At 34.9% G+C, this 19,085-nt stretch overlaps 2 protein-coding genes across 19 annotated transcripts in view, besides 3 other annotated features; one reads left to right on the plus strand and one right to left on the minus strand.

Annotated features, from left to right (window-relative positions):
• The window catches only part of FBXO8 (F-box protein 8), a 47,010-nt gene extending 35,954 nt beyond the window's left edge, over nucleotides 1-11,056 (minus strand). Inside the window, exon 1 of the mRNA NM_012180.3 lies at nucleotides 10,799-11,056. The gene's annotated coding sequence lies outside the window, so the exon portion shown is untranslated. The remainder of the gene's footprint in view (nucleotides 1-10,798) is intronic.
• Nucleotides 11,057-11,094: 38 nt separating this feature from the next.
• CEP44 (centrosomal protein 44) overlaps nucleotides 11,095-19,085 on the plus strand; it is a 49,676-nt gene continuing 41,685 nt past the window's right edge. For 6 of the 18 annotated variants that reach the window (NM_001145314.2, XM_024454231.2, XM_024454232.2 and 3 more), the window contains exon 1: nucleotides 11,300-11,450. The gene's annotated coding sequence lies outside the window, so the exon portion shown is untranslated. Of the gene's footprint in view, nucleotides 11,530-19,085 lie in introns of all 18 variants that reach the window. The other 12 variants (XM_011532286.3, XM_011532287.3, NM_001040157.3 and 9 more) reach the window with 3 other exon arrangements.
• Nucleotides 11,251-11,500: an enhancer, noted in NCBI's record as "active region_22162". NCBI's record gives its function as "activates an Ori minimal core promoter by ATAC-STARR-seq in GM12878 lymphoblastoid cells {active_cell/tissue: GM12878}" and the evidence as "EXISTENCE:reporter gene assay evidence [ECO:0000049][PMID:35858748]".
• Nucleotides 11,251-11,532: a biological region, named in NCBI's record as "ReSE screen-validated silencer GRCh37_chr4:175205027-175205294".
• Nucleotides 11,265-11,532: a silencer, noted in NCBI's record as "fragment chr4:175205027-175205294 (GRCh37/hg19 assembly coordinates)". NCBI's record gives its function as "represses an EF-1alpha promoter that drives an FKBP-Casp9 reporter gene in an ReSE screen in K562 erythroleukemia cells {active_cell/tissue: K562}" and the evidence as "EXISTENCE:reporter gene assay evidence [ECO:0000049][PMID:32094911]".

Here is a 19,085-nt window from a genome sequence, read left to right on the forward strand (position 1 = left end):
TAATTAAAGAAGATAGAAAGAATAATGTAGTTAGAAAAATTATCATTTTACCATCAGAGAAAAAATAATTTAGGCAAGAATTATCAATGGATGTTGTTGAATCTGGAGTTTGACAAAGAATGGAATACTTACAGAATCCCAAAGTATCTTCCCACATATCAGTCATTAATTACAAGAAAAAATTAAGAAATAAGACAAAACCTTAACCAAATGATGAAAATTAACATTTACAAATAAGAGGCAAATGCACATCATATGCCTCTAGATGTGATGCCCTGAGGACACAACATCATTATATAGTATTCCAGCCAAAAATCCATAATCTGAATTTAATAGGGAATATCAGAGAAACTCAAAAGGCAGTCTGTAAAATAACAGAATATTTTCCTTCAAAAACACCAATGCCAGGCTGGGAATGGTGGCTCATGCCTCTAATCTCAGTGCTTTGGGAGAGCAAGGCCAAGAGGATTGCTTGAGGACAGCCCGGGCAACATAGCGAGACCCTGTCTCTATAAAAAATTAAAAATTAGATGAGTGTGGTGGCATGTGCCTGTAGTCCTAGCTACTTAGGCGGCTGAGGCAGGAGGATCACTTGAAGCCAGGAATTGGAGGTTCCAGTGAACTAAGATTACACTACTGCACTCCAACCTGAGTGACGGAGCAAAACTCTGTTCCTAAAAAATAAATCAATAATGCCAATGTCATAAAAGTTAAAAAAAAAAAAAAGAAAAGAAAAGAAAAAAGGTGGAAGAACAGTTTTGGATTAAAAGAGGCTAAAAACAATACCACCGAAATGCAGTATGTCAACAGGATTGGAAAAAAATTGCTATGTCGCACATTATTGAGATAAATAAGAAACTAGATATATGGGCTGAAGATTGGATAAAAATATGGTATCATAGTATCAATGTTAAATTTCCTAAACTTGATAACTGTGAAATGGCTATACAGAAGTATATCCTCATTCTTAGGGAACACACACTGAAGTGTGATGGTGTGATGTATGCAACCTACTCCAAAATGGTTCAGCAAAACAGTAACGTCTATGTCTATACAGATGGAACAATAAGGTGATGTGGCAAAATATTAAAAATTTGTAAACCTGGCTAAAAAGTATTCAAGGGTTATTTTTATTCCTCTAACAATTTTTTTGTAACTACAAATCTCCTAGTTGTGGAATCCAGGCATGTAAATTTGAAAAAGATGTGTGTTTGAGTTTATGTACTCAGTTTAAGAATTATTATTATTATTATTACCTTAGGGCTCAGTGTAATACAGACTGAAGACCATTACTAAAGAAATAGTGGTCCAGAGAGGTTAAGCAAATTTGCCTGAGAAGTCAAAGCTGGAAAAATGGAAGATTTAGGATTCAAACTCAGTTCTATCTGAGTCCAAAGCTTTTATTCTTAACCCACAAACCATATTCCCAGAACCGCTGGAGCCCATGGATGACAAAAGCAATTTACCATCTGTTTCTTCACCACTGGTTCTCATCTCTTTTTACCCCGTCACTGTTTATTACCTCCATCGTTGGTCCCAGCTGCAGCTGCTCTTTCAGGCTACTGCTGTTCTTGTGGAAAGCACACAGGCTTTGATGTGAAGAAAGATCAGCATCAAACCCCAACACGGAATCTGATTAGCCTGTGATTTCTGATCCTCATTCTTCTCATTAGTAAAATAACGGATAATAATTCTTATTCCATGGGACTTAGTAGGGATAACATTTATGGAACTTAACCCATAGTAGGTAGTTTACAATAAAAGGTAGTTTCGTACTCATCCCTCTCGCCCTCTTTAAATGATAACTATTATTTTGGTTCCTTCATTTCAAATACACCTGATAACTGTGGATTAATTACCTGAGTAGTCATAATCCTGGTCCTGAATTTCATTAATTTGGGATCTGTGAAATTTGGAGAGATGCCATTTACATAGCAAGGCCATAGTTCCAACACGCACTAGTTTCAGTTAACATGGTAAAATGCAAAATGATGACTGTAAGTACTAAAATAAGGAACTGACTCCACACAATAGGTTACATGAATAAACCCAGTATCAAACACAGTGCCTTGGCATATAAAGTGCTCAGAAAATATTTGTTGAATGAATAAACGATTAGTAAGCACTGATTTTAAAAAAAATGAATTACATGAACCTTGACCTAAACCTTACACCTTTTACAAAAATTAACTCAAAATGGACCATAGACTTAAACGTAAAACATAAAACTATAAAAATTTTAGAAAAATACATAGAAGGAAATCTTTGGGGTCTAAGGCTAGGCCAAGAATTCCCAGACTTATATCAAAAGGATGATCATGAAAGTAAAAATTGATCGAATTCATCAAAATAAAAAATTTTTGCTCTTTGAAAGTCTATATTTGGAAGATGAAAGGAAAGCCTACAGATTGAGAGAAAATATTTGTAAACCACATATCTGACGGACGAGTATCTAGAATATATAAACAACTCTCAAAACAATAGTAAACAAAAACCAAACAATCCAATATAAAAATGGGCAAAAGATATAAACACACGTTTCATGAAAGAGGATATACAAATGGCAAATAAGCACATGGTAAGATGGTCAACATCATTAGCCAGGAGAGAGGTGCGTACGGTTATAAAAGCACAGTGTGAGAGATCCCTGTGGTGTTACAACTATTTACTATCTTGACTATGGTGCTGGATATGTGAACTTGCACAGAACTTCATACACACACATATGTACACTGAGTAAAAATAAAACTAGGGGAATATGAGTAAGATGGGGGATTGTATCAATGTCAAAATCCTGGTTTTGATAGTATATTATAGTTACAAAACTATTACCAATCAGAGAAACTAGGTAAAGTGTACAAGGGATGACTCTATATTTCTTGAGACTGCATGTACATCTACAATTATCTTAAAAAATCATAGAAGGATGGAAAAAAACAAAAAAAGTTTAAAAAAGGATAGGCAACTGCACATTTAAAGTGAATGAATTTTATTGTATGTAAATGATACCTTAATAAAGATGTTTTATAAAAAGGAATTAGAAACTCTAATGAATGCTTTAAAGAGGGTGAGCAAAGACATGGGAAGTCTACCATCATTTCACAAATAGTAACTATTTTAGATTTTGGGAATCCAACTAATTGTGAAAAATCTACAACCTATGAATCATCTCTCACTTCAGGTAAATTTGAATACATATGGATCAAAAGAAGATGGAATTAAGGAATACAAATCCTTATAGACACAAATCCTAAATGATGTTTTGACCACTTACATAGGATATATAAACAACAGAGTAAGGTACAAATGCAAAAAGGATCGATATTTGTGTAACTCTTAGTCTAATAAAAAAGACAATGTACATATAAAATACATTAATTAGAAAATTGGTATAATTACTTATTTAAAAACAAAGTAATAAGCTATATGAATTAATTTGGATTGCTACAAATATTATATTTCTAATATCTGTAGAAAAATGCTTCTACTTATTAAAATACATTAAAATTGGTAAATTTTATTTAGAATCTCCTATATTCTTATATGCCCTTGTTTCCATTAAAATAACAATAGCAATATTAACAGTAATACTTTTATTACATATTGACCAAATATTTATTTGACAGAGCCAACTTGTTTTTTCTGAGTTGGAGTCTTGCTCTGTTGCCCAGGCTGGAGTGCAGTGGAACAATCTCGGCTCACTGCAACCTCTGCCTCCTGGGTTCAAGCGATTCTCCTGCCTCAGTCTCCCGAGTAGCTGGGACTACAGGCGCGCACCGCCATGCCTGGCTAATTTTTGTATTTTTAGTAGAGACGGAGTTTCACTATATTGGCCAGGCTGGTCTTGAACTCCTGACTATGTGATCCGCCTGCCTCGGCCTCCCAGAGTGCTAGGATTACAGGCATGAGCCACTGTGACTGCCTGACAGAGCCAATTTTTAAAAAAAATTTAAATATATTTAGATTTTGTTTTGTTTTGTTTTTTTGAGAGGGAGTCTCGCTCTGTCAACAGACTGGAGTGCAGTGGCGTGTAGATCTTTGGTTTTTAAAAATTAATTTGTCCACTTTCAGTTTTATTATGCTAATTTCAGCATAAATAAATAAAACTGAAATCTCTAAAGTGGGCTATATACTATAATCTCTGTTTTACAGTAATGTAGAAGTTTTTTGACACTACTACTGTGGAGGATGAATTTAAAGGTGGAGCTCCAATTACGCTGTAACTTGCTGTGTGACCTTAGGTATTTCAAACAAGGTTCTGATCTTTTGTTTCCTATAAAATGGGGGAAATCATTCCTATCTATTTTACAGGGTGGCTATGAGCCTTAACTAAGAGAATGTATATAAAAGCATCTTTTAATTGGTAAAGCAGTATGTAGTTTCTGAAACAGCTATATTGTTCTGACATAATTTTGGATGTATTTTTTTTAAAGTAGCAGTTTTAGTCTAACCAAGTCTGTTACAACAGCATAAAAGCGCTTCCACTTAAAAGCAGTACAAACTATGGATTAACTACAAATAATTACACATTTATTAAAATTTATAAGAACAATAATAGTTTTCTATACTTTTTAACTTCTAGAAGATCGTTACATTTCTAAGAGATGGTATTTTTGACTACTATGTTTTGTTTCCTATTCAAAATAGTAGACTATTTCTTAAAAAGACTAAAATACAAGTTTTATTAATATTTTGTATCTAATACAAAGTCTATCTGTAAAATATTAAGCAGCTTTAATCAAACTATCTCTCTGTAACAAGTTAAACACCAAAATAAAGTAGTATTTATTAAGAAAAAGGTAACTACTGCTTATAATTTCATGGCACTAAGCACTCAAATGGCACATGCTGTGCAGACAATAAGTAATGAAGAATGGTTTATATACTATTTGGGCATATAAAATCTACACAGGGAAAGATGGCAAGAATAGAAAGGAGTCCGGATGTCTCAAAAAAGCATTCTGCTTTAAGTACTTTTGTTTGAAGCAAACCAATTCCATAAAGCTTTTACTGAGCAAACGGTGTTAAATCATTGGTATGTAATGACTGACATATGAATAGCCTCATTTAAATACACATTATAAATGGTCATTTTTCTTCAGTATTTCTTAGTTGTCTAAATAGTGGAATTTATAAGTAAATGTCCTGTCTCAGATAAAGGTTTAAAATGTGTGCTACAATAGTTATCTCTAAAATACAAATTCTAACGATAAGGAAATCCACTTATATGTTTTTATAAATTTTCAGTGCTTTTAAGTAAAAAGTAGCAACTCTATTTTTGGTTACTTCAGGTTTTAAAAATCTTTAAGGGATATCATGTGATATTATTCAATAGCATAAGAACATGGGAGAGTCTATGAGAAAATATTTTCTGAGACATTTTGAATCAAATCAGGAGCCTAGCATTTATTTCTTCACTTCCAAAAGAATAGACCACCAAAGAAGTTTAGAACAGACTGCGTAGAGAAATTTTTTAAAAAAGAAAAAAACCCTGATAACCAATCACATCCCTAAAATTTAAAGGCAACAAATGTAGAGAAATAAAGGAAGGGTAAGTCCACAAGGAGGTCTTTCTAAGGAGAAAAGGGAAATAGCTAAGTACTAAGAGGTCACAAGGTACATTGAACACATAAAAAGCCCCTACTCATTAAATTTAAAGATCTGGTCCTGCAAGAGCAGTTTTTGTTACTAAAAGGCATACCATTTGCAGGTTTTGGTTTTTTTTAATTCAAAAAGATTTACAATATTACTTTGTTCCCTGAAGGTTTTTTTCCTGTTAATTTTATTCTATAAAAAGTGTTACCAAAATGGCAACTAAATAAATGTAAAAATTAAGATGTGTTATTTAAATGCAACCAAAAATCTAAGAATTTTAGGCTTATTCAATTTCTGTGGTTTGTTTTTCAAGAAATGCTCCATTGTCCAACTATTTGAAACTTTAAAATAAATGTATCATACTTCTCACTAGCATTATTTTTAATTATATGGTTCTTACTTAATTGTATCACTATTTACTTAAAGTGGCTGTAATCAGCTGTAGTCATGGTAGCATATCCTAACCCACCTTCTCAGTATACACATACTCACCTGCCCACTAACCACAAAGGCCATTGCTATGAGTGCTATGGAATTAAAAACCAAAACAAAAGTCATAATTCTCACTGAGTTGCTTTTATACAAATAAAACAAGGTATTAAATTAAATGAATATTGAAGGCAGCCAGAAATAGGAGGAAGGTGAAAAATGAGAAAACATTTAATAGTGAAAAGAGACTGATGGAAAGAAAACATGAGTTTGACTCAGTCTCCTTCCTTAGCTAGTAGGGAGCATCAGCCAAGTCACTAAAATTTTGAGGTCTCAGTTTCCTCCCCTGTAAAATAAGGGTTTTGAAACTGGTGTTCCCTAAGGTCTTTTTTAGCTATAAAATTCCATGGTTCCAAGAGTAATTAGACAAGAAAAAAAGTAAAAGACAACCAAATTGGAAAGAAAGCAGTAAAATCCTTTGTAGTTACCCTAAAGATTCTACCAAAAACTTACAACTAATAAATCCATTCAGCAAAGTAGAAAGACATAAAGTCAAGACACAGAAATAAGTCGTATTTCTATACATTTACAATAAACAATCTGAAAAGGAAATTAAGAAAATAATACCAACTACAACAGCATCAAAAAGAATAAAATACTTAGGAATTAACCAAGTAGGTAAAAGGCTTCTGGAATGAAAGCTACAAAACACTACTGAAAGAAGTGAAAGACAAATAAATGGAAGTACATCCTGTGGTTACAGATTGGAAGACTTATTAAGATGGCAATACCACCCAAAGTGATCTATAGATTCAATGTAGCTCCTGCCAAAATTATAATGACGTTTTTTGCATTAATAGAAAAAAATTCTAAAATCCACATGGAATCTCAAGGGACCTCTAATAGTCAAACCAAACTTGAAAAAGAACAACAAAGCTGGAAGACACTTTCTGATTTCAAAACTTATTACAAAGCTACAGTAACCAAAACAGTATGGTATTGGCATAAAAAGAGACATACAGACCAATGAAATAGAACAGAGAATCCAGAAATAAACCATCACATATATGGTCAAAAGATTTTTGACTAGGTGTCAAGATCATTTAATGGGGGAAAGGACAGTCTTTTCAACAAATGGTGCTGAGAAATCATATCCACATTCAAAAGAATGAGGTTGGAACCTTACCCAACATTATCTATGAAAATTAACTCAAAATGGATCAAAGACTTAAATCTAAGACATAAAACTGTAATACTCTTAGACGAAAAAACAGGGCAACAGGGCAAAAGGCTTACAGCACTGAATTTGGCAATGATTTCCAAATGCACAAGCAACAAAAGAGGAAACAGACCAACTGAACATTATGAAAATTAAAAAAAAATTGTGCATCAAAAGACAGTATCAACAGAGTAAAAAGGCAACCCACCGAATGAGAGAAAATATTTGAAAATCATGTATCTGATAAAATCTAATATCTATAATTTACAGATAACTCCTTTAACTCAACAATAACAAAAACATGATTCAAAAATGGGTAAAGGACTTGAAAAGACATTTTTCCAGAGAAAATACACTAACGTCCAATAAGCACAGGAAAATACAGTCAACATCACTAATCATTAGGGAAATACAAATCAAAAGTACAATGAGGGACCACCTTATACCCATTAAGATAGTTACTATCGAAAAAAAAATAAGTCTTGGCAAGGATGTGGAGAAACTGGAACCCTTATGTATTGTTAATGTGAATGTAATACGTATGGTACAGCCTCTGCGGAAACAATATGGAGCTTCCTAAAAAAAAATTAAAAACAGAATTACCATGTGATCTAGCAATTCCACTTTCAGGTATATACCCTCAAGAATTCAAAGCAGGGTCTGGAAAAGATATTTGTTCACCCATGTTCATAGCAGCATTATTCACAACAGCTAAAACATGGAAGCAACCCAGGTGTCCAATAACAGATGAATGGATAAGCAAAATGTGGCTGACACATATAAGGGAATGTTATGTGACCTTAAAAAGAAGAGAAATTCTGGCATATGCTACAACAAAGATGAACCTTGAGGACATTATGCCAAGTTAAATAAGCCAGTCAAAAAAAGTCAAATACTGGATAAGCCCATTTATATGAGGTTTTGGTTCTTTACCACTTTCCAGTAATATGAATACAAACACTTCCGGTTTCCAAAACTGGAAACAAAAGGTAGAATGGTGATTGCTAGGACCTAGGAATGGGGAAGGGGAATTATTGTTTAATAGGTATAGAGTTTCAGTTTTACAAGATAAAAAGAGTAATGAAGATAGATGGTGTTGATGGTGGCACAACATTATCAATGTAATTAATACCATTGAACTGTACACTTAGAATGGTTAAGATGGTAAATTTTATGTTACGTATATTTTACTACAATTTAAAAATTGGAAGAAACAATTCTGTGATCCCATAAAAATAAAATGAGGGAAAAAACTCTGAAAAACAAATTAATAAATAAAAGAAGAGATGATGGCGTGCGTGTGTGTGTATTTAACATCTGTCCTTTCCATCTCTTTTTTCCCTATATTCATGACTTCCACAAATCACTACTCCATATAGAGTCTCTCCAAGCTTGGCTTACTTGCTAAAATCTGGTTCCTTCATTCAAATAGCTTATGAATCCTATGCAATCTATTCTTGAAAAATACACGAACTGCTGACTAAATGGTTAAACTCCCTAAAGCTGTTGCCTAAACTCCAAACCACAAATATTTTTATCTTATATTGCTATAAAGTACTTGCACCAGCACAGTGGCTCACACCTATGATTCCTGAACCTTGGGAGGCTGTGGAAGGAGGATCGCTTGAGCTCAGGACTTCAAGACCAGCCTGGGCAGCACAGTCAGACAAAAAAATTAAAAGAAATAACCACACGTGATGGCGTGTGCCTGTGGTCCCAGGTACTCTGAAGGCTGAGGTGGGAGGGAGAATTGCTTGAACCTAGGAGGTCAAGGCTACAGTGAGTCTTGTTCGCACCACTGCACTCCAGCCTGGGCAACAGAATAAAAATCTGTCTCAAAAAAATACTTGCCCCAAATATGATATAAATTTATTCAAGTCAGCCAAAAATGTTTTAGTTTATTAGAGAGCTAAGTCAAGAAATTTGTCAGAAAAACAAAACAATGAGAGCAAAACGAAAAAGAAATAGTGAACATAAATTTCCAGAAATAGATGTATTTCATTTAAATTGTTTAAAAAATTATTTAAGTAAAATAATTCAAGAAAAAGAAACAGAAATTAAATGCATAATTCTTAGACTTTAGTATTAATGATTTTGATGCATTATCATGGGTCAGTCAATGGAATAGTGCCAGTTTCCAAATCTGAATCAAAATGAGGAAAAAATTAGTTGTACATTAGCAGTTGGTTAAATAATAAACCATAAAGTTACAAATCTGAATGACTAATTTCAACACACTGTGATTAAAGATTTGGTAATTCAATGTTTTTATATTGTAAAATGAGGAAGATATCTTTTAACCTAGCAACAGTAAACACACAAAACATTCCCCATTAAAGTGACCATATGTAATAAATTATGATCAATGTTTTGGCTTATCTAGAAGTTACTATAATATTTTGTGGATGGAAGTAATTGATCCAAGGGCCCCAAGTAATATTAGTTAATTTGCTGTAACTTATTATTAAATGAAGTTACGCTGCACCCTAATTCCTGATGTACAGAAACTGATAATATTTGTTGTTTTAAGCTGGGGTAAATTTGGGGGTAATTTGTTACCCAGCAATAGACAACTAATGAAGTACCTCATCAGACATATTGTCAGGTTAATTGGCTAAAGATGAATTTCTGACCCAATATGAAAAAAATAATAAAACTTATGCATTCTTTATTCTGAAACCTACTCTGTTTCACATATCATTTTCGTGAAGGGTAGAGTTGAGAAGTGTGTAGAGCTCCTACCTCAGAAATACATTACTTCAAACATTAAAAGAAGGAAGAGGAAAGCTGAAATAGAAAACATAAATTGTCTTCACTTTACCGTAATAAAAATCATGATATATTCATTTGTGGATATACACCTAGGAGCCTTGAAAATGAATATTTTACTTGTAAAACAAGTAGAATCAATTATTTTATTAGTAAATTCATACAGAACCTAAAAATAAAACTAAAAAAATTAAATGACTGAGGATTGGGATCCATTTATGTGATTTTGCCAAATAAATATTGAGAACCTTCTACGTAAGAGATTAGAACCCAGTCGCTGAGAAACAAATAAAAGACAAGTTTGACAAGTTTTATAACCCAAGTTTGACTACTGTAGCAGCTAGCAATCCATCGTGATCTTAACTATACTTGTGTTTGCATTCATATTACTGGAAAGTGGTAAAGAACCAAAAACTGTCTAGGAACCAAAATAACACTCGACCCGAAAACCAACACTTGGACCTGAAGAAAGTAACCCTTGTCATTTCTCAGGTTTATTTCACAATGACGCTGGGTTACTACTTGGAGTCCTAAACCGAACTACACCCCAATGGCCTAGAAACAGAAGGAACACACCCAGTTCCGCCTCCTGACAGTGATTCCTCACTTTAATGAGCCACCACTACTGTCACTCAAGATGCTTCGCACTGTCATTGGTCGCAAACTCTTGCTGGTCGGCCAGTTTCGGCCAACTGGCAAGCACTGGTTGTCTTTATTTTCGAGAAAAGTGAAGGTGAACAGGGAAAAGAGACAAGAGATCTAAAATATCTAGGTTGACTCCTGTACCTGAGCGACCTGCGATCTCCACCGCCGCCGCGACGAATTGGCCTCTGGGCGGGGACTTTTAGCCAAAAGGAAAATGGCTCAGCCGGGAACTGGTGCCCAGGCCATGGAGAAGCTGATTCAAACTTTACTTGTCCACACCGGTAGAGGTGACCGCGATGAGAATACCAGAAACAGCACTACGACCCTCAGAACTCAGGGTACCTCCAGCTGCAGGGGCCAGAACTGCCGACTATCCCAATTTTGACGTTTCCTATTGTTGCCGGAAGTGACGTTAGGCTCCGACTCTTAACGGAGACGCATTTTTATTTCTGTTGTTTACGATTCGCTATAGATTCCTTGTTTCTCACTTCGTAGCACGAGCCACTCTGACCATCAAGATCAGAAAAACTTCTCAGCTGCAAGTTAGAAGTGGACTGGCCATTGAGGAGGCTCTCAGCGGAGTCGCTCTTCACAGGAGTCTTGAACGCGGTGTGGAATCGGCAGCGAGGAATCCTGGAGCACAGAGAAGCTCCCAGCTTTGAAGGTCTTGCGGTGGTGCGTGGCGGGCAGGAACCCACAATTCCAAATACAAACGGTCGGCGCGAGAAGCGCTTCTGGGCGCAGGCGCCTGGCTGTAGCGACTGGTTGCGGGAGGCTGGACTCTGGTGACTGTGTATGGTTGCATATGCTCCGTTTTCCTCTCCCTGTCGTGCTGGGCCTTTGAAACCGGCTTCTTTGCTGGTGGCTGCTTGGTGAGCCCCGAGGAGACGGCAAGGCTGCGCCTGGTATTGGGCGGAGGTCGCCTCTCTCCGCCGTCCTTACAGAGACCCCGGGCGGAGACGAATGACCAGATCCGCCTTTTCATTCTTTTAAATCAAATGGCGGGAGGGGAGCCTTGCTTATATACCCAACTAGTATATGCTTTTAGTCACAACGAAGTGGGAAGTATCGTGGTAGCTCATCCTATCAGAATTAGGTTGTGACTTAGGGTTGGAAAGTTATAGGCTTACTGATTCCTATTGGATCCTCTGGGGTGAGGATACAAACGGCTCCTGACTATAAGGAAGACAGGACAGCAGTTCGTGTTTTCCTTGTTGGCATTTCCCCAGCTTTTCAAATATTTCTCCACCTTTATTGAAGGCTACAGATTTTTCCCTCACTGTAACAAGTTAATCTTGAAGTTGTTATTCTCTTTTACTCTGGAATTATGGCCATGCTAGACTGTTTTTTTCCCGAATTATCTGCAGACCTTTTAATTTTATGTGTGAACACAGCAGTCCCGTTGAACTCTTTACTTGTCCCTTACTCCTCCCCACTCCCGCCCAGCTTTCTCGATGCTTTGCCTTTCTCAGACCTTTCTCCTATCTCTTAGAGAAGTATTTCCCTAATATCTTTTGCAGTTTCATAAACTGTTTTTCTCATCTTTACTTTTTTGTTTTTGATACGTGTTTTTAGATAATATCGAGCATTATGTGCTATGTCACAAACTCTTAGCCATTGACTGTTATTAGAGTCAGTGTAGTTGCTTCATTCTAAACAAAAATCACTCTGGTCCAGTGACATTCTATTGGGAGGCATTGTTTTAATGACCTCTAACAGCAATGAGATTGAGCGATGTTGAAAATCCTAAACTGCTAGAGTACACTATTTTCACAACCTCTCCCACAAGTTCAATTGCGCAGATCTGACTTGTAGACAAGGAAGGAAGCTAGAAAGGAATATTGAGAGCTTCTTTATTATTGAATCTATGCTGCAAGCTGAGTGGTATCTCCTTTTTTCCTTAGTTTGCCTTTGATCAGTGCTATAAGTTGAAAATGTTAAATTTTTAAAAGTATTTTTCATTAATGAAAGTAAGGTGTTAAAATGTACATAAGTAATAGATTGGCTTCTTTTAATGTCTTGTTTTTAAGGCTTTTGAATTTTATAGTAGACTTAGTAAAGCCCTTTGTGAGAATGTAGAGCAGTAGCTGTAATTTTATTCTGTGATAATCCCAATTTTAAATCCCTTTATTTTTCTGTCTCCTATCACTTACCTCGTTCACGAGCTCTGCTTGTATTACTCTTCAAAATATTTATTCACTGGTACTGAAGAGAGACATAACTTTGTTGTCAGAAATTCCATTATCAGAGGTAGAAATCATGTAAGAGACACTGAAATGTTTTCCAAAATGTCAGAAAAAGGAAAGGTGAGAAGATATCATAAAGTGTTACGTAAAACAGAATTACTTGCACTGGGAAAATGGAATATACATCTGGAAGGACTAAAGGAAGTCTGGAAAGACATAGAATTTACATTAAAGTTACTGGGAAGAAGGTATCCCTAGAAGAATTGTGTTACGATAGATGGGTCTGGAACCCGAAAGAAGCTCAGACCTACTATATTGGCCAGTGGCAAAATCCAAGAATACATTTTTTGCGGTTAAAGCCAGAGTAGTCCTCACTTCATGTTTTTCAGGAAAGTAAAGGCTTATCTTGGGAAATCCCTTTTAGGCTTCCGTGTGTCCATCTACCCCCAGTCAGTCTAAAGGATATTAAATAGGGTTTACCTTCTTGGCCAGTGTTTTGTATAATGTGATTTCAGGATGACTTTCTCTTTTTCTAGTTATCTCCCATTTGACAGTACCTAAAATTATCTCTGTCTAGAAATGTAAATGTTTAGTTGAAGTAATTTATTGGCTGAAAAATAGTGACTAAAATGTGCATGCACAAGTCTATAAAGTATATTCAATAAGCTGTTGCCTACCATGTTGATAAAGGAGACTAGGAACAGAAAGGTAGGTTCATAAAGAGGGAGCAGTTGCTCTACCCTGGGGAAATGGCTGTGGAAATGAGTGGCGAGGGGCTTAAAGTAGGAAGCTTACTAAATTTAGGATTTTGTAAATCGGTGACCTTCTTACCTTTCCTTATTTAAAGATAGAGAAACGGTGTGTAAAGGGATGATTTGTATCCTGGACAGCTGGGTAATGCGAATTGGAGGAAAAGATCACACTAACCCAGCTTCACCTGATTTATGAATTGTTCTGTTTTCATTTTAATATAATGACTTCATTTTAATGTGATAACTTCATTTTAAAGGAGCTTCATTCTCAAAGGGTTCATTACTCAAGGTATTGTTATGTATTACTTTTCTTCTATGAAGTGTCCATGGACAGTTGTGGTAGATGTTTTTATGTAAGTTATTGAGTTTCACGTTACTGGCTGACTAGACTTTTATAGTTCAGAAACTTACCTCCTTCCAGCAAAGGTTCTTAATCGTTTATATACCTATTTATGACTCTTCTTTGGGAAAAATCTCCTTTGATAATCTAATGAAAGTCCCACTCCATGCAAGAAAATTAGTCATTTAGAAATAAATTCCATGCTATTACTTTTGGGGCAGTTTTTAAAAAATGAATCATTTTGTTTAAAGTCTCAGTTCGTTCAAATCTTTTGGTTCACGTATGTGTTTTTCTGTTGTGTACATTCTTCAGAGTCATATTCCTGTTTCATAGGCCCCATGTATGTCAGCTTTTAGTAGGTATCACCAGTAAGTTTTCCAAAATAATTGTACCATTTACTCTTTCTGTAAAAAGCATAGATATTTTGAATTTCTTGCCTTTTTTTCTGTGTTCACCTTTTCTTCTTGGAAGTAGACAGCTGGCTAACCAGCAGGAGTTTGGGACCGATGACAGTGCAAAACATCTTGACTGACAATGGTGGTGGCTTATTAAAGTGAAGAATCAGCATCAAGAGGGGGAATCGGTGTATTCCTTCTATTTCTAGGCCATTGGGATATAGGTCGTTATGGGACCCCAGGTAGTAACCCAGCTCATTCTGAAATAGAGCTGAGAAATGACAAGGATTAAGTGTTGCTTTTCAGGTAGAGTGCTATTTTGGACCCTTGGCACAGATTTTGGTTCTTTATTATGATAAGTACCAAGAAGGAAAAGAACTGGGTCTATTAGAGAAAATTAATGAGGGGGATTAATTAGTTTGGGATCTAAGACTTATTTGAGGTGGTGACATTTAAGCAGGATGCCGAGGGGTATTAGCCAGATGGAGAATGGGAGAGGGAAGGAGTTGCTCTGTATCTCTTCAAGCTTGAAGAAATGGCATGTGCAAAGGTGTTGAACAGCTTGAGATATCACCAAACATCCTTATCCAGGTCCAGGAACTTTATCCCAGATACCATTTCTGTTATTTGTTGCTTTCTATAATATTTTAAATTAACTAAATCACACACATTCTCTTTTTCATCATTACTTGGTAAGTGGAATGTTTTGATTTTCCCTTCTGGTTATGATTTACATGTATTAACTTATTAATACACGAAGATCAAAAAGTGACCAAAATTGTTCAAAAGGTACAATTTATTATAGGATAATTATAATTATTTCATGCTGACAATATGTTTATAAGTGTTTTGCAGTAACCTTTTTGTTTCTATAATTTCATGGTAAGAAAGAAAATGAATTAGGTAGAGCTAGTAATACCAGGTATAGACAAGAATGTAGTATTTAAAGCTAATATCTGAAATTCTCTTCTTGCATCTGCTAACTGAACGAGAAAATTCTGTGTGTGAGAATGGAAAACTTTGGGTGAAAAGTGAAAACTTGGATTTTGTAGTCCAGGCCCTTAATTAAGTAGATAACACACTCAGAAGGAGAAAATTTGGGGTGCTTTATATACAAAGGGACTATTTTTAGAGGTGTGTGTACAGGGATCTGGTGCTGCTTCATTTTTTAACCTGTTTATTGCGGTATGATTGACATACAGAAAGCTATAGACATTTAATGTATACAGTTTCTGTTTGGAGATAAGTAGATATTGTGAAACCATCCAACCATTATTACTACAAGAAATCAATGCCATCACCTTGAAAAGTTTCCTTCTACTCATCTTTTTTTCACGTTTTGTGATAAGAGCACTTAACATTAGATCTAACTTCTTAGCAAAATTTTAAGAATACAATATTGCTAATCACAGACACTGGGTTGTACCTGCAGATCTTATTTATTTTGCCTAACTGAAACTTTGTACCCTTTGAACAACAGCTTCCCATTTTGTTCTCCCCATGTTCCCTTACAACCACCATTCTATTCTCTGCTTGCATGTATTTGACTATTTTAGATTTCACATACATTGAGATAATACAGTATTTGTCTTTTTGTGTTTAGCTTATTTCACTTAGCATAATGTCCTTCAGGTTCATCCATGTTGTTGCAAATGGCAGGATTTCCTTCTTTTTTAAAGGCAAATTTGTTTATTCTCACATTTTTGTTGGGGTCCCTAAGGTTTTCTACATCTAAGATCATGTCATCTGCAAACAGATATTGTACCTCTTCTCTTTTTATTTGGATGTTTTTAATTTATTTTTCTTACCTAGTTATTCTGGCTAGGACTTAAAATACTACGCTGAATAGGAGAGGCTAAAGTAGGCAACCTTGCCTTGTTCCTCATCTTATGGGGAAAGCTTTCAGTTTTTTATCTTTAAGTATCTTAGCTGTGGGCTTCTCATAAATGGACTTTATTTTGTTTTTCCTTTACCTAATTTGCTATAAGGTTCTTCCATACCTAGTTTATTGGGAGTTTTTATCACAAAAGAGTATCGAATTTTGTCAAGTGCTTTTTCTGCATCTGTGCAGATGCCCATGTGAGTTTTATCCTTCATTCTATTAATGCAGTATATTACATTGGTTGGTTGTCATATGTTGAACCATCCTTGCATCACAATGAAAAATCCTACTTGGTCATGGTATATGATTCTTTTAATGTGCTGTTGTGTTTGGTTTGCTAACATTTCATTGAGGATTTTTACGTCTATATTCATCAAATGTATTAGACTGTAGTTTTCTTGTAGTGTATTTGTCTGGCTTTGGTATCAGGGTGATGCAGGCCTCAGAATGACTTTGGAAGTGTTCCCTCTTCTTTTTTTTTTTTTTTTAGATATGTTTAATAAGGTTTTGTATTAATTTTTCTTTAAATGTTTGCTAGAATGTATCTGGCTCTTGGCTTTTCTTTGTTGGGAATTTTTTGATTATTCCATCAATCTCCTTTTTTGTTATTTGTCTATTCAAGCATTCTATTTCTTCTTGATTCAGTCTTGGTAAGTTATATTTTTCTAGGAATTTACCCATTTTTTTTTAGATTGTCCAATTTGATGGCATATAATTGTTCATAATAGTCCCTTATGATACTTTTTATATCTGTGGGATCAATTGTGTCCTCTTTCATTTCTGATTTTGTTTGAGTCTTCTATTTTTAAAGTCTAGCCAAGGATTTGTTGATTTAGTTTGTCTTTTCAAAAGAGGAACTTTTAGTTTTGTCAATTTTTAAAATTGTTTTTCAATTTTCTATTTCATTTATTTCTAATCTAATCTTTATTATTTTCTTCCTTCTGCTAATTTTGGATTTAGTTTGTTCTTTTTCTAGTTCCTTGAGGTGTAAAGTTAGGTTGTTTTATTGAGACCTTTTTTTTTTTTTCTTTGAGACAGAGTCTTGCTCTGTCACCAGGCTGGAGTGCAGTGGCGTGATGATCTTGGCTTACTGCAACCTCCGCCTCCCGGGTTCAAGTGATTCTCCTGCCTCAGCCTCCCGAGTAGGTGGGAGTCCCAAGTAGGTGGGACTAGAGCCACGCACCACCATGCTCAGCTAATTTTTGTATTTTTTGTAGAGATGGGGTTTCACCATGTTAGCCAGGATGGTCTCAATCTCTTGACCTAGTGACCCGCCTGCCTCAGCCCCCAAAAGTGCTAGGATTATAGGCGTGAGCCACTGTGTCCTGCCTCTTTCTTCTTCTTAATGAATTTATTGCTATAAACACTTCTCTTATTCTGCTTTTACTGCATCCTATATGTTTGGGTATACTGTGTTTTTATTATTGTTTGTCTTGAGATATTTTATAATTTCTGTTTTGATTTATTCTTTGACCCAGTATTATTTAATAGTATGTTATTTAATTCCCCTGTATTTGTGAATTTTTCCATTTTCTTTCTATTATTGATTTCTAGTTTCATTCCCTCGTGATCAGACAAAATGTTTAGAATGTTTTTAGTCTTCTTAAATTTGTTAAGACTTGTTTTGTGACCTAGGCTGTGATCAGTTATAGAGAATGTTTCATGTCCTTTTGAGAAGAATGATTATTTTGCTATGGTTGGGTCTCATGTTCTGTATATGCATGTTAGGTCTTTGGTCTATAGTGTTGTATAGTTTGCAATTTACTTGTTGGTATTCTGTCCGGATGACCAGTACATTATAGACAGTGACGTATCAAAGTCTCCTTCTGTATTGTATTGATATCTATTTCTTCCTCCAATTCTATCAATATTTGCTGTTGGCATTCTGTCTGGATGACCTGTACATTATAGAGAGTGATGTATCAAAGTCTCCTTCTATATTGTATCGATATCTATTTCTTCCTTCAAATCTGTCAATGTTCACTGTATATTTTAAGGTGCTTTGATGTTGGGTGCATATGTATTTTTAGTTGTTGTATCTTTCTATTGAATTGACCCTTTTACTATTATATAATGCCTTCTTTGTCTCTTTTGACAGTTGTCGACTTAAAGTCTATTTTGTCTGATATAGATAGCCACCCTGCTCTCTTTTGGTTATAGTTTGCATGGAATATCTTTCTCAATCCCTTCACTTTTAGCCTACGTGTGTCCTTAAATGTTAGAGTCTCTTGTAGATAGCGTATAGTTGAGTGTTGTTTTTATTATCCATTTCAGCCATTCCATGTCTACTGAGAGCCCTTAATTATTAAAAATTTAAAGTAATAATTTTTAATAATTAAGTACTTAATTGTTTCCATTTTATTCATTGTTTTCTATTTGCTTTCTGTTTCTCCTGTTTTTCTCTTGTTTGTTGTCTTTGTGATTTGATGATTGTAGTAGAATGCTTTGATTTTTTTCTTTTTTTTGTTTATTTACTATACTTTTTATTTTGGTTACTATGGGGTTTGCATCAAATATTATGTAGTCATAGCAGGCTTTTTAAAGCTAGTAACAACTTCATTCATATTCAGAATCTCTACACTTCTCCCCCCTCTTCCTCACCAATGTATGTAATTGATTTCAGATTTTACTTCTTTCTATATTGTTTCTATTAACAAATTTCTGTGGTTGTTGTAGTTACTCATACTATTTTTGTCTTTTAATTTATATACTAGTGTTCAATGAGATTTACGTGCCACAGATTTCAGTATTGCAATATTCCATGTTTGTTTTCATGTTTGCTTTTAGCAGTGAGATGTATACTTTCATATGCTTTCATACTGTTGGTTTAGTATCTTTTCAGTTAACTTGAAGATCTCCTGTTAGCATTTCTT

The sequence above is a fragment of the Homo sapiens genome, chromosome 4 (genome assembly GCF_000001405.40).
Source record: "Homo sapiens chromosome 4, GRCh38.p14 Primary Assembly".
In the NCBI taxonomy this organism is placed as follows: Eukaryota; Metazoa; Chordata; class Mammalia; order Primates; family Hominidae; genus Homo; species Homo sapiens.